This window comes from Homo sapiens, chromosome 5, assembly GCF_000001405.40.
Source record: "Homo sapiens chromosome 5, GRCh38.p14 Primary Assembly".
Classification (NCBI taxonomy): domain Eukaryota; kingdom Metazoa; phylum Chordata; class Mammalia; order Primates; family Hominidae; genus Homo; species Homo sapiens.
In genome coordinates this window covers 176857382-176871327 of record NC_000005.10, presented here as the reverse complement: position 1 = coordinate 176871327, position 13946 = coordinate 176857382, and the positions used below count along the sequence as shown (strand labels likewise).

General features: G+C 60.8%; 1 protein-coding gene across 5 annotated transcripts in view, besides 2 other annotated features; it reads right to left on the bottom strand.

Annotated features, from left to right (window-relative positions):
* UNC5A (unc-5 netrin receptor A) overlaps positions 1 to 13946 on the bottom strand; it is a 70340-nt gene that overhangs the window by 9571 nt on the left and 46823 nt on the right. For 3 of the 5 annotated variants that reach the window (XM_006714928.2, XM_011534686.2, XM_011534687.3), the window contains exons 2-7: positions 8483 to 8704; positions 3055 to 3198; positions 2664 to 2767; positions 2364 to 2544; positions 1547 to 1714; positions 794 to 958 (exon numbers count right to left, since the gene is read on the bottom strand). In XM_006714928.2, the coding sequence (XP_006714991.1) occupies positions 794 to 958; positions 1547 to 1714; positions 2364 to 2544; positions 2664 to 2767; positions 3055 to 3198; positions 8483 to 8704 (984 nt within the window). The remainder of the gene's footprint in view (positions 1 to 793; positions 959 to 1546; positions 1715 to 2363; positions 2545 to 2663; positions 2768 to 3054; positions 3199 to 8482; positions 8705 to 13946) is intronic. The other 2 variants (NM_133369.3, XM_006714927.2) reach the window with 1 other exon arrangement.
* Positions 1918 to 2665: an enhancer, noted in NCBI's record as "H3K27ac-H3K4me1 hESC enhancer chr5:176295664-176296411 (GRCh37/hg19 assembly coordinates)". NCBI's record gives its function as "activates a minimal SCP1, AML or CMV promoter by ChIP-STARR-seq in primed H9 embryonic stem cells {active_cell/tissue: H9 hESC(primed)}" and the evidence as "EXISTENCE:reporter gene assay evidence [ECO:0000049][PMID:30033119]".
* Positions 13315 to 13816: an enhancer, noted in NCBI's record as "H3K4me1 hESC enhancer chr5:176284513-176285014 (GRCh37/hg19 assembly coordinates)". NCBI's record gives its function as "activates a minimal SCP1, AML or CMV promoter by ChIP-STARR-seq in naive H9 embryonic stem cells {active_cell/tissue: H9 hESC(naive)}" and the evidence as "EXISTENCE:reporter gene assay evidence [ECO:0000049][PMID:30033119]".

The following is a 13946-nucleotide window of genomic DNA, read 5'->3' as shown; positions in this document are numbered from 1 at the left end:
CGAGTGTGGGCAGATGGGAAGCTGTGGTGTTGGGGCAGGTGTGGGCAGATGGGAAGCTGTGGTGTTGGTGAGTGTGGGCAGATGTGAAGCTGTGGTGTTGGTGAGCGTGGGCAGATGGGAAGCTGTGGTGTTGGGGCGAGTGTGGGCAGATGGGAAGCTGTGGTGTTGGTGAGCGTGGGCAGATGGGAAGCTGTGGTGTGGGGCGAGTGTGGGCAGATGGGAAGCTGTGGTGTGGGGCGAGTGTGGGCAGATGGGAAGCTGTGGTGTGGGGCGAGTGTGGGCAGATGGGAAGCTGTGGTGTGGGGCGAGTGTGGGCAGATGGGAAGCTGTGGTGTGGGGCGAGCGTGGGCAGATGGGAAGCTGTGGTGTTGGGCGAGTGTGGGCAGATGGGAAGCTGTGGTGTGGGGTGAGCGTGGGCAGATGGGAAGCTGTGGTGTGGGGTGAGCGTGGGCAGATGGGAAGCTGTGGTGTGGGGTGAGCGTGGGCAGATGTGAAGCTGTGGTGTTGGTGAGTGTGGGCAGATGTGAAGCTGTGGTGTTGGGTAAGTGTGGGCAATGGGTGTGCATGAATCAAGGTTCAAATCTGTGCCCGTCTCAGGAGGCATGGGAGGTGGTGGGGCGCGCCTGGGCCCATGTGCAGGTATGCTAAGGATGAGGGGGATCTCAGTGGGTCCTGAGCCTGGAGAGGCTACAGCCTTTGGCAGGAGAATAGCTCCCTCAGCCCCCACCTCCCCAGGGCTGGGCAAGGCCAATCCAGGCAAACAGAAGAGGACCTCAGGGCAGAGAGGACTCACTGTGTACACAGAGGTCACTGGTACAGTTGCGGGTGTCCAGGTCAGTGCCCTGGCACTCCTCCCCTCCGTTGCGGGGTGCTGGGTCAGAGCACTCACGGCTCCGCCAGTGGGTGCAGTCCAGCCCACAGGCCGACCACTTGCTCCACGGGCTCCAGCTGCCGTCCACTAGATGAGAGACAAGCAGAGAGGAGACGGTGCGGTCAGCCTGGGAGCCCACCCCGGCAGTCTGCCAGTGTGGCCCCTCTGGGCAACCAGACCAGGCAGTGCAAGGCAGCCTGGATTTGGGTGCAAAGCCAGGGCCAGGCCCACGATGCACGCCCTCTAGTGTCCAGCTGGCCTTGATGACGCATGCTAATGACAGGGAGGCGCGGATGACGCCAGGGGCTGCTTGGCTCTCTCCACACCAGGGAGGCTGTCCTGGCCCTGGGGCAGCGAGGGCTCTCTCGTCACACGTTGACCCTTCTGAACCCAGGGACAAGTGGACTCTGCAGCCCTGGGCTGAGCCCTAGACCCTGTCAAACTGTACCTCACACCCTGTGACTTACACCCTATGTTGAGCCCTGACATTGGACACAGATCGAGCCCTGACTCCAACCATACACCGCACCCCGATCCCCGCCTCAGACTGAGCCTGGCCCTGCGTGGCGGGTGGGTGGGATGGAGCCATGGGGGGGCAGGCTGGTGGGCGCGATGGAGCCAGGGCACGGAGATGGCGTGGTGAGGAACGATGCGGGAGGCGGTGGCCGCTGGTACCTGGGCACAGGGTGGCGCAGGCTGTTTTCTGGACATTCTGCCCCTCACAGAAAGCGCCCCCGTTGAGAGGCGCCGGGTTGGTGCAGCTCCGGCTCCGTTTCTGCCAGCCGCGCCCACAGCTGGCGCTGCAGACGGACCACTCGGTCCACGTCGACCACCCACCGTTCACTGGCCGGACAGAGAAGGACTGGGGTCAGGGAGCGGGGGCGTCCTCAGATACACTGGCCCAGGGGACGGGGCGTGAGGGCAGAGGGGCTGTGAGCTGGACACGGGTGGGCTGTGGCTGAGCTGGGAGAGAAGGCCTGGGGGAGGCCATGCTCGTGCCTGCTGGCCCCCGGGCCCTGCAGCACGCACGCCACAGTCTTCCCTTCTCCCAGGGGGCACTCGGGGTAGCCAGGCTGAACCGCGGCTCACACACTCCTGCAGCCCAGACCCCAGCCTCTCCTGGGGTGACTCCCGCACCCTCCCTCTGCTGGCTCCTGGGGGTGCCTGGACTGTGTGGCTTCTGATTCCCCCCTTGGAGACTCAGGAGTGGGGACAGCCTGTCACCTTTCCTAGATTCCCATCCTGTCCCTCATCTCCTTCTGCACAATGCCCGCTGCCCACAAAGGACCTCCAATCTGTCCCACTCCTTTGCCCAGACATGCCCCTGGGCCCCCAGCAGTCACAGAGAGCCCTTTGCTTATCCTGCCTAGTCAGGCACGATCTGGTCCACCTGGCTTTGGCCTCATGGCCTCTCTTCACCCCACCAGCCACATGTCACTGCCCAGGGGCACCGCAGTGCCTCTCCCTGTGACCAGGGAGTCCCGGGGCCCACCGTAGACGATGACAGCAGCGGAGGCGCTGCGGCGACGTGCCACGATGTTCTTGGCCACGCAGGTGTAGTTGGCCGTGTCAGCAAGGCGGGCCTGTCGCACCACCAGGCTGTGCTCCCGCGTGATGTATACATTGGGGTCCAGGGACGGGTCCACCAGGTCCTCGTTCCGGAGCCACTCCACCTAGGGGAGGGAGCCCTGCCATGTACTGCCAGCCCATGCTGGCCCTGCCCAGAGTGGCCCCTGCCAGGGTGACCAGGCAGGAGCCCAGGTCCAGACGTGGGCACTAGAGGAGCCCTCACCTCGGCTGGAGGGATGCCCTCCGGTGGACGGCAGGGCAGCACGATGCCCTGCTCCAGGGACACCTCCTTGGCCAGCGGCTCCTGCTCGAAGTTCTTGCGCAAATCTAGAAGAGGAATGAGAGTGTCCTCCTGTCTGAGGGCCTCGCACAGGCTCAGCCTGGCTGGCTGTGTCCCTTGTCCTGCAGGGGCCGTGGCACATGGCAGAGGAAGTGCCAGGTGGCCAGGGGGCCATGGGGTGGCTGGGCCGTGTCCACAGGCACTTTATCCACTCATCCAGGCAGGGCTGTGAGGTTTTCTGACCGGACCGCCTCTTCCAGGAAGCCTACTGTCCCCTCTCCTGGTGACACCCTCCCGCCGTGCGCCCTCCCCCAGGGCCCAGCCCTAGACTCACAGGCTATGCGGATGTAGGCCTTCTGACTCTTGGTGGTGCCCGAGGAGCTCCATGCCACGCACTGGCACCAGTATTCCTCCAGCCCGAACACCTTCTCGACCTGCTGCCTTGAGACATTAATGCGGACCTCCATGGTGGGCAGCCCTGGGGGCGGGAGGGGCAGGTAGTCAGAGCCCCAGGGCCACCCTGAGCTTCTGTGTGTGGGTTCCTGCGCCACCCTCAGCCACTCTCGCTGACTGGCAAGGGAGTGGACTTTGTTTTTTTTTTTTTAAATTTTATTATTATTATATTTTAAGTTTTAAGGCAACCTCCAGCCTGGAGGAAACTCCAGGGGGCCCAAGGGCCGCTTGATTTCTATCTCCTGAAGGCCCCGGGCAGGCAGGGTAGACCTTCCATTCATTATACTTTGTTACCTGAGGCCTGACTCCCCGGAGTCACTTACAGAAATGTCCATAAAGGGGCTGCCGTAGAGCTTTGGGCCAGAGGGTCTGACCTCCAAAGACTCCAGGCAGAAGGGGTGGGGCAGACAGGCTGAGCTCTGCACCTCTGTGGGTAAAAGAGGTGAGGAAGGATCTGGCCCCCTCCCTCGGGGGCTAGCAGATAGATCCTGACGTGATAATATAATAACAGTCATTAACAATATAATTGCAGTGATTATGTAGTATGATGCTAGCGCCCTGGGACTTAGGGTTTCCCACGTGCCGGGATGGGGATGTCGTCTTAATCCACTCCCTTGGACAGAAATGCAGAGGGAAGTGACTTGCCATGGGGACCCGGGACTGTCTGCATCCGAAGGGTGAGCTGGGGCGCCTATGCACTAGGGAGAAACTTTGGAAGAGGGTGAGAGAGCAGCCAGCAGAGGGGGAGCTGGGGGTCTAGGACCCGCTCTGCCTAACTAGGGTGAGCTGGGGGGACTCCGCTCCAGGCTGGACTCAGCCCCCCACCTTCTGCCATATCTGGCCTGAGGCAGGCTGAGGACCCTCTGACAACTCAGGAGCGGGGGCAGCAACCCTCCTCCTGCCCCGTCTGTAGCCAAAACCAGCATCCCCAGCAGTGAGAAAAGACTGTTTGCTTCCAATTTCTCCTCCTCCTGACCCCAATTTCCCTCGGGTCATTGGCTTATCAGAAAGGGAGAGAGAGGCCGGCAGCCAATGTGTTTCCATTGTTAACAGCGAAATTCAATTAGGGCTGCATTGCGGGAAGAGCGGCCGCCCAGCTGAGCCGGCAGGCTGGGAGGCTGTTTCCCTCTTAATTTCTCTAACATGACTTTCTCCGACTGCTTCCCAGACCCCTCCTCACAAGCCTCTGGGCTCTCACACTGGGTGTCCAGATTTTTCTATCACTTTGTCCCTGTCGCCGGCCAGCTATCATAGGAGATGGCAGAGCTGTCACCTCTGGTGAGATCATGGTAGCTGGGCCGCTTCCCTCCGTTCTGGGCACCACCTGCCCCGTTCTCTAAGACACCCAGTGTGGACACTCTCAGGGGGTGGGGTGGGCAGGCTGAGAACGAGGGGGTGGCTCACAGGGTCCTTGTATAGGAGAGGGGCCTTGGGCACCAGCTATCTTTCAATGTGACTTAGGGCATCTGATAAGGAGATCTGGGGAGGGGCCCTCCACTCCCTTCATCCTCTCTGCCTTGGGGGTTAGGGGTGGGAGACCTCCAGAACATTCTGAACTGGGTACTTTTTCTCCCTTGGGTGGACAAGTCTGTTAATGGTTCCTCCATCCCCCGTGGTGCTGTGGGGAGCCCGGCCCTCCTTCAGGAGCCTCACCCATGGCCCAGGCGGCTCAGCTTGGGAGAACAGCACTACCTTTAAGCGCTCCCTTTTCTTCTCCCTTTGCCTTCCCTCCCCTTCTGTCCTGCCACCTCCTCTCCTCCCTCTCACTTGCATGAGTGAGGGCCAAGTGTGTCCTCAATGTGCCAGCTCCACGCAGTGCCTTGGTGAGGGGTGCCCTTCAGCCCCACAAGCTCCTGGAGGGCAGTGCCTGAGGCGGGGGCTGCAGACCCGGCCCTACCCCATCTTTGATGTGAGGGGCTGTGCGCTCTCCTCTTGTGGATCATCAGGCAGCCTGGTTCCTGGGAGCAGTGTCTGGGTACAGCTATGTCTGTACCTGCCCATAAGTGTGAGCAGGTGCCAGCCCTGGGGAGGGACCCCGGGCCAGTGGGCCTGGGCGGGTGTGTGTGTGAACCTGGGCTGCCCAGGGTTTCTAGCTGGGGCTCTGAGGCCAAGCTGGCACTTCGGTTCTCACCTTCTCAGCAATCTGCTTCTAAACAATCTAATAACCAATCAGTTTGTTTAACACAAAATAAGTTATACTCCCAGACCGGACTCCAGTGCTTGGTTTTGCAAATTTCAGGCTTTTTTTTAGTGTTAGCAGGTTTGGGTTCCAGCACTTCAGGCCTTGGTCCCTGCCCCCTGGCCTTCTGGGTGAGGAATGAGGGCAAACGAGAGGGAAGTAGGTGCTCTCCTGGGTGTCCATCCGGCCACCTCCAGCCCCACACATGAATGAGTGGGCTGCAGAGCTGGGTGGGCCTCCGAGCCCTGCCATACCTGTCTGACCACAGAACGTTTCTGGTTTGGGGTCTTTGGTCTTTGGCGGCGTGGCGCCACTGCCGTGGTATCTGCCGTGGGTAAGGAAAGCCTTTTTCTTCACCTCAAAGCACTCGATGGCTTTGGGTTGAGAAATCGATGAGATCAATGAACGTTCAGATGTTCCGGCCATGGGAGGCTGGAGTCGGATGCTCGGGGCAGAAGAGGACCCTGGCGGTTACGGGTGGGACGTGTCCCAAGCTCTGCTTCTCTGCCCGGCAGGAAGAGAACAGGGCCACAGGAGCCGGCTGGGGAGTGTGGGCCAGGGGCTCCCGGTGTGTGTGCCGGCCCGGGCCTGCGACTGCTCATTCAGGCAAGGGTCTGGGTTCCTGCCAGTCCATGGATCTGAGCCCTCATAATGGCAGGGGTGTTTCAGACAGAGGGGTGTGCGGGGGAGCCCGGAAGGGGGTGCTGGGAGCAGCAGGGGGCTGGACTGGAGCTTCCAGGCTGCAGGAGAGCAGCTCTCTGGCTGTGCTTTCCCTGGGGGACCTGCCACAGCAGTGGGAGAACTTATGCTGAAGGGACGCTGGGCCCCGGGTGTGGGGTGGGGAGAAAGGAAAGGCCCCGTGCTGGGTCCTGACTGGGCACGTGAGATTTCATGGCTTCCCCCGACCAATCTGCAAGGGGCAGGATGGAGGGGAGGTCTCCTCACCCCCATTTTACAGATGAAGAAACTGAGCCCAGGGAGGGGAGGGACTTGCCTGCGGTTCTCCTGCAGACCCTCCCAGCAAGACAAGGTGGGCCCTGCTGCTGGGCAGGGAGGCCTCTGGCACCTCCGCTGGGGCCGGGAGAGGCTCTGGTCCTGGGAGGTGTTGGTGCCCAGGGTTCTGTTGGGCTACATTGGCCGCCAACCCTCTCTATCTCCCTCTGAGGGTAGGAGGTAGAGCTGGATCACTGCCCTGAGAGCATAACTCCTAGTACCTAACCCAAGGCATGGCACAGAGCAGGTGCTCAGCGAACACCTGAAGACCGCAGGTGAGAAGCTGCAGTCAGGCCAAGGCACTGAGACGACACTTGGGGGAGGGAGGCAGTCCCTGCTGACCCTCACGGAGGGGTGGTGTGTGACTGCTGCAGACGAGAAGGGCTGGTTGGAGCCCCGGCAGGGCTCTGGATGAGTAAGAGCCAAGGCCTCAGTCTCAACCGTAAAATGACAAGCTGGTTCTGGGGCTAAATGGCACTGCCTAAATCCAGGGCTCTTCAGCTCACCTCAGATCACTGCCAGAGCTTCCAAACCGTTCTCCCTGGCAGGGGCCTTGCCCTCCTCCAGTCTCCCTGTGCCCAGCACGGTCTTCCTACAGTGCAAGTGCGACCGCAGCCCGCTCTGGTGTCTCAGCCTCCAGGGGCCCCTTAGCGCAGTCTCCTGGCCACTGCTGCCTGCCCCGGGGTTCGCTCTCGCTCCATACCCGAGCCACCCAAGGCTGTTCTGCGCCTCTGCACCTTCCATTCTACAGGCCTGGGAGATGCCCTTTCCAGGTGGTTTTGAGACCTGAGCTTGGATGTTCCTCCTCCGCTGGGAATCCTTCCTGGGCCACCTCTCTAGGCCCAAGGTCCCCGGCCTGCCCTTGGCATCAGTGGGAGTCCTGGGTGACACCTGCTTGTCCCAGCTGCACTGTGGCTTGAGCCTCACGGCAATGGCCTGTGTGTCCCGCACGGGCTGTGCCTCGACAGGGTATGTGTGCTGTGTCTCAGGATGGCTGAGGCCTTGGTGGGAGGGGGCTCAGGACTACCCCTGAGGTGTCATTATGCGTGGGGTGCTCCACAAAGCACCAAGGGAGAGGAAACTGAAACAGGCTCTAATGAGTGAGGAGGAGGAGGAAAGGTAGGAGAGGAGTGGGGGAGGGGAGGAGGAGGGGGAGGAGGAGGAGGGGGAGGAGGGGAAGGAGGGAAGAAGGGGGTAAAGAAGGAGGAGGGGAGGGGGAGGAGGGGAGGGAGGAGGAGAGGGAGGGGGAAAAGGGGGAGGAGGGGGAGGAGGAGAAGCTGTTGTTTGCTCCTGCCTCTCTCTCTGCCAGTCCTTTCTGGGGGAGTTGCGGAACCCAGACAAGGGCTGTCTGCCCACGTCCCCAGTGCCACTTAAGGCCAGGGCTGGGGGTGGGGAATGTGGTGTCTCATGGAAGAGGTGCTTCCTGGGTCTGCTCGCTGCCCCTAGAACCTCTCTCTCTGTGCCCCCAGCTGAGTCTGGCTGGCCCCCTCTGCTCAGTGTCTCCAGACCTGCTGCTTCCATCAGCCCCAACTCTGGCCCCTGAATCACATATAGCTCTGGCCATGTCGCTCTGCAGCTTGAGATCCCCTAAGACAGTGGCATCAGTTTGGTCCCCTGCACACCCTCACCCTCACTGCTGACCCCACCACCGGCATGCCGGCGTCTGCCTCCAGGCTTTCCTGGGCTGTGTCCCCTGCCTGGGATGCACTTCCCCCTTCTGCACTCCCTAACCGGTTCTTATGCCTCTCTCAGTTAACACATCACCTCCCCTGAGGGGCCTCTCTCCCTGCTGAGAGGTCACCCCGCTGTCTGCCTCTCTGTGGGAACTTGGGCTCCGAGGGTGGCGGGCTGTCCCCAGCACGGGAGTGGGTGCTCACAGGTGTGAGTGAATGCCTGACTGATCGAATGAACCGACGCACAAAGAAAACAATCACTGAATGTGAGGTCTGGGAGCTCCTTGGTCATCAGGGACCCCCTCTCTCCCCCTCCTTCTCCCCAAACTGCTGAGGGTTGTGGCCTCTGGGGAAGGCCTCCGGGGTCCCAGGTGGGGAATCCTGGGGGCAGCTGCAGGCTCCTCTGGGGGGGCCGAAACTCGCCTCCCCCGGATTGGCCCTGCCTGGCGCCCCATGCGGCTCACCACTGCTCCCGTCTGTGCTGCGCTCGATCACGTGGTCCACCTGGCGCACCCACTCCCCGTTGCACTTGAAGAAGATCTGCGTGGCGGGCACGGCCTTGCACACAAGCAGCACTGGCTTGTTCTTGACGATGTACACATCCTCGGGCTCCACCAGGAAGTGGGGAAGCAGGTCCGGGTTGGCACCAGGCACTGGGTTGGCCACGGTGGCACTCTGCTGGGCACCTGCGGCAGGGCAGAGGGGGAAGGTGAGCCAGGGGCCAGACTGGGCAGGGTAGAGGCAGCGGCTCAGCAAACGATTCCACCGTGGGTTGGGGCAGATGGGAGGAGAGTGAGTCCAGGCTCTGCCATGTCCCAGCTGGGCAATCTCAGGCCAATGACCATCCCCCACCCGGGCCTCCATGTCCTCCTCTGTACAAGCAGGGAAGGAGCAGCCCATGCCATCCTGAAGACCGTGGTGAGGTGAAATGAGACCTGGGCGGAGTCCCAGCACCGAGGTGGCCTGGCGACTGCCTTCCTAGAAGTCCAGGGATCTGGCCAGGCAGGCCCCTGCCCGGGAGGTCCAGGGCAAGGCTGGCCAAGGTGAGAAGGTCCCTGGCCAGGCAGGTGAGCTGCCTGGGGCGAGGGAGGGAGCAGCCCTGGCCAGTGGCCGCCTCTGGGGCCCTGCTTCCTGGTTGGCCCCATCCCTGGCCCTGCACATAGTAGGTGCTCAGAAATAACATGCGGGGTGGGCACGGGCAAGGCGAGAGCCGGGAGTCTGTCTGGGAATCTGAGATACCTGGGCCACCTCCTTCAAGGAGACCTGAATATGTGGGTTTCCTTCTAATTTTAACTGAAAACCACAACCATCCCACAAGTCATTTGTTGCTAATTACACAGGTAATTGGCTTGGAGGCACTGGCAGAGGTAAAACCCCCAGAGTAGTCTGATCCCTGCCCAACCAGCAGGTCCCCTGAGAGGATGGGGTGGGGGTCACCCTCAGCTCCCACAACCCCCAGCTGCCCTTTGAACAGGTCCTCAGCCTCCCTGGGGCTGCAGTGATCCCCCCACCAATGCGCATTCACAATTGCAGCCCCTGGGCATAGAGGGAAACCCTGGGTTTCCAGACCATCTATTCTGCTCATCTTAGTGGTGACCTTGGGGAGCGAGTGGCTTGCTATCTGTGAGATGGAGATGACAGCTGCCTGTGGGGATGTCCACAGGCCCCTCACATGGATGGCCTCTGGGCTCCTCCACCCTCCCCACGGGTGATCCAAAACCCACCCAGGGCTTCAGACTGGGAGGCCTGGGCCCACCCTACCCACCGAGGGGCACATACGCCTGGCCCACTGCCCCTTTCGCTCCTGCTTGCGCAGGGACCCTCTCCCCAGGGTGGGAGTCCGCCCTTCACCAGGACCCTGGTTTCACGGCAGGAGGTGTGTGCACCAGCTCCTGCAGGCGCCCTGGAGGGCAGGCTCGGACCGAGGGTTCAGGGGCCTCTGCAACTTCAGGCAGGTCCATCCACCCCATCCTGAACCTGTTTCCTCACCTGCAAAATGGGGCGTGGTGCCCAGTTCTTAAGGCTGTTGTGAGGATGAAATGAAACAGGCGTGAGGCACTCAGCACAGTGCTCAGGGAGCGTAGGCTGCTGTTGGTACCCCCACGGTTCTGCGTGTTCCACAGCAAAGGGCTGCACCCCCTCAGCTCGGTCATCCTCACAGCAATCTCATAGGGGGTGAGAGCCAACAAGGAAACTGAGGCACAGAGCTGGCAGGTGCCTTAGGGATGGCAGAGGGAGGCTGGCTGAGCTGAGGGGTGCAACAGCTGTGTCTTTGTGAGCTCAGGGGCAGATGGGTGTGGAGGGCATTTGGGACATAGCCGGACAGTTTGTCCGCTGCTGGGTCGCCGGCCCTCCCTGGGCGCCTGCCCCTCCTCTCACTCTCTGGCCTCCCTGCCTGCCTCCTGCCCACCTGCCAGACTCCGGCCTCTCCCCAGCTTGGCTTTTTCCCTTGTGTGCCCTCCCACTGGCAACTGCCCCCCGCATGTTCCGCAGCTCTGTTATGGACACCAAGCCCGCATTCATAAGCGGGGTCACACTTGCAGTTCACATGTCGTGAAAATGAAGGTCATCAGACCCAGACCCACCCCACCCTGAACCACCTCTGCTGGGGTCTGTCGTAGGCTCAGGAAGTGGCGGAATGCAGGCGACGCTGGGGGGTGGGACCAAGACACCTTATTGACGGGGAACCTGAGGCCCGAGGGGGTCCCTTACCCCAGAGCCTCCAGCTGAGACACTGGGCTCATCAAGTGTACAGTCACCTGTGTGCTCGCCATGGTCACTTGGCAGCCACCGGCCAGCCCTGACCCAGACGTGGGACCCAGGGGTGGGCTCAGGGAGAGCAGTGCTGAGTTGGGCTCCCACATGGTCCTCCCACGGTCTGGAGAATGAATGGAAGGAGGTGGTCTTGGGAGGCTGGGGAGTGTGAACCCTGGAGTGGGGGTGTGGGATGGGTGCTGCTGGCCCGAGGGCCGCTCTAGACATGCACCCAGGCAAGCTGCAGCATTTGGGAGGACCCTAGGCCGTGCAGAGGACAGGCCAAGATGGATGCCAGAGCAAGCCCTGCAGGTGTTGGGGAGCAGGCAGGTGTCACCAAGCCCCCCCAGTGGCAGGTTCCCGGCCCACCTGTGCCACATCCCTTAACAGGTAGACAATGCGCTGGCCTGTGCCTGCCTCTTGGCGGGGGAGCTGGGTGGGCAGGGGTCCCTGGCTGGGCGTGTGGGGGCAGGGAGGGGGTGTGCGGCCCTCCAGCCTCCCTATCGATCAGCACGCCAAGCACTGCTTGCGTCAGCCGCCTGGTGAACCCAGCACAATCCCTCATGTCTGCATTTAACTGCTAATGAAAAATAAATGTACTGTGACCAATAAGGGGCATAGCTCACTTCTCCAGGGCCTCTGTCACGCCACAGTGGCCCCGGGGGGCATTTATCCGGTGGACCCAGGGGGCACCCTCCAGGCTGCAGCTATGCCCTCTAGCAAGGACATTCTAGCAGCTATGACCTCTAGCAAGGACATTCTAGCAGCTATGCCCTCTAGCAAGGACATTCTAGCAGCTATGCCCTCTAGCAAGGACATCATTCTAGCAGCTATGCCCTCTAGCAAGGACATTCTAGCAGCTATGCCCTCTAGCAAGGACATTCTAGCAGCTATGCCCTCTAGCAAGGGCATTCTAGCAGCCATGCCCTCTAGCAAGGACATTGTAGCAGCCATGCCCTCTAGCAAGGACATTCTAGCAGCCATGCCCTCTAGCAAGGACATTCTAGCAGCTATGCCCTCTAGCAAGGACATTCTAGCAGCTATGCCCTCTAGCAAGGGCATTCTAGCAGCTATGCCCTCTAGCAAGGACATTCTAGCAGCTATGCCCTCTAGCAAGGACATCATTCTAGCAGCTATGCCCTCTAGCAAGGACATTCTAGCAGCTATGCCCTCTAGCAAGGGCATTCTAGCAGCCATGCCCTCTAGCAAGGGCATTCTAGCAGCTATGCCCTCTAGCAAGGGCATTCTAGCAGCCATGCCCTCTAGCAAGGACATTGTAGCAGCTATGCCCTCTAGCAAGGGCATTCTAGCAGCTATGCCCTCTAGCAAGGACATTCTAGCAGCTATGCCCTCTAGCAAGGGCATTCTAGCAGCCATGCCCTCTAGCAAGGACATTGTAGCAGCTATGCCCTCTAGCAAGGGCATTCTAGCAGCCATGCCCTCTAGCAAGGACATTCTAGCAGCTATGCCCTCTAGCAAGGGCATGGGTGGGGTAAATTAAGGTGCTACTGGACGTCCTCTCGGGGCTACAGGAATCTTCCTGGGCAGTCAGGGCTGGCTTTCTCTGCCTCTGGCCCCCGAGCTCACTGTGTGACTTCTATCCTTGCCATCAGTACCTGAGATCTGTCTGTCCCCCCCTCGGTGTCCCGGTCAGGGCTCTCACCTGAATGAAGGCACAGCCGAGCCTCTCGCCTCCCCCACTGCACAGCCCAGGCTACTAGCGTGAGCTTCCTTCCTTTCTTTCTTTCCTTCCCTCCCTCCCTCCCTGCCTGCTTGCTTGCCTTCCTTCCTTCCTTCCTTCCTTCCTTCCTTCCTTCCTTCCTTCCTTCCTTCTCTCTCTCTCTTTCTTTCTTTCGCTTTCCATGTACTTGTCCATCAAAGACAACGCCAGGTAGTGCCTGCTCAGTCCAAAGGACCTAGGATCCTTTCAACAGGGCCTGAGAGCTGGCTAGTTTGCCGTAGTCCCCACCACTCCCTGTTGCCTCACCCTGGGTCTGTTTCTCCCATTTCCATTGTTCATCTGGCTCCCATGGGTGTTTCAGAATAGGGCCAAGTGCCTTTGACTGACATCACTGAGCCTCACGTTCTGGCCCCAGTCAGTGCTCCAGCCCTTTTCTGAAGAGACACCCATGGATCCCTCCGAGGCAGGAGCTTCCCACCTCCAGGTCTCTGCCTGAAACTCCCTTCCTTCCTCTTTGTCCAGTGCTTTCCTACCTTCTCTCCAGGGCTCAGCTCCAATGTCACCTCCTCTGGAAAGAGGGTTCCCCTACCTCAACTCTCCTGGGAAACCACACATGCCATCTCACCCTCTCTGCATCTAGGGCCTGTCCTCGCTGGTGCTGGAGCTGTTGTCACAGGAGAAGCAGGCAGGAGGCTTTGTCCCCACCCCCAGACTGTGCATCCTCGGTCCATGCCGTGCAGCACAAGGCTGCTTAATGCGGGCATTAGCAACTGGGGCCTCGGGGTGGGGTGCCTACCGCTGCTGCCTCTGGGGCCACTGACGGACGGGCGTGTGAGAACACTGCCAGGGCGGACACACCTTGGTTGCAGTGGCTCGTGGGCCTGCAGGACAGCAGGCAGGTATGGGCCCACCAGCTTCATGGGCCCTGCCACTTCCCAAACCCCACTCATCCCTAGTTTCCCAGAGGCTCCTTCTGCCATGTCACAGCTTTCCCACTGGCAAGGGACGTGACCTGGCCTGGCTGCCCGCTTGGAATTAAGTTAGAAGACCTCATTCACTGACTAGCAGATTCCTGACGGGCGCTTGGTCACCAGGAACTACAGGACTTGGTCAGACAGGGCTGGGTGGATGACTCAAGCCCTGAAGTGGGAACCCCATTTGCGGTGAGCCCCAGAGCCCACTGGCTGGCCCTGCCTCTCTCAGGAGAGAACTGGCTGCCCACGTCAGCTGGAGCTGGTGCCCCTGCTCGGCAAGGGTGGGAGCAGCAAACTGGGCAACCCCCAAACCACACATCTTCTCAGGAATAGCAAGGAGGAGGGGCAAGGCGTGTGTGTGTGTGCGCATGTGTGTGTGGCATGCATGTGTGTGTGTGTGCGTGTGTGTAGGGAGGCTGGGGGCCAACGGGGGTGGCAGCTACAGAAAGGAGGGGAAGCAGATGAGTCCCCGGGGCCGGTGGCAATGGGAGGCAAGAGACCCCTGGGCAAGGAGCCTTG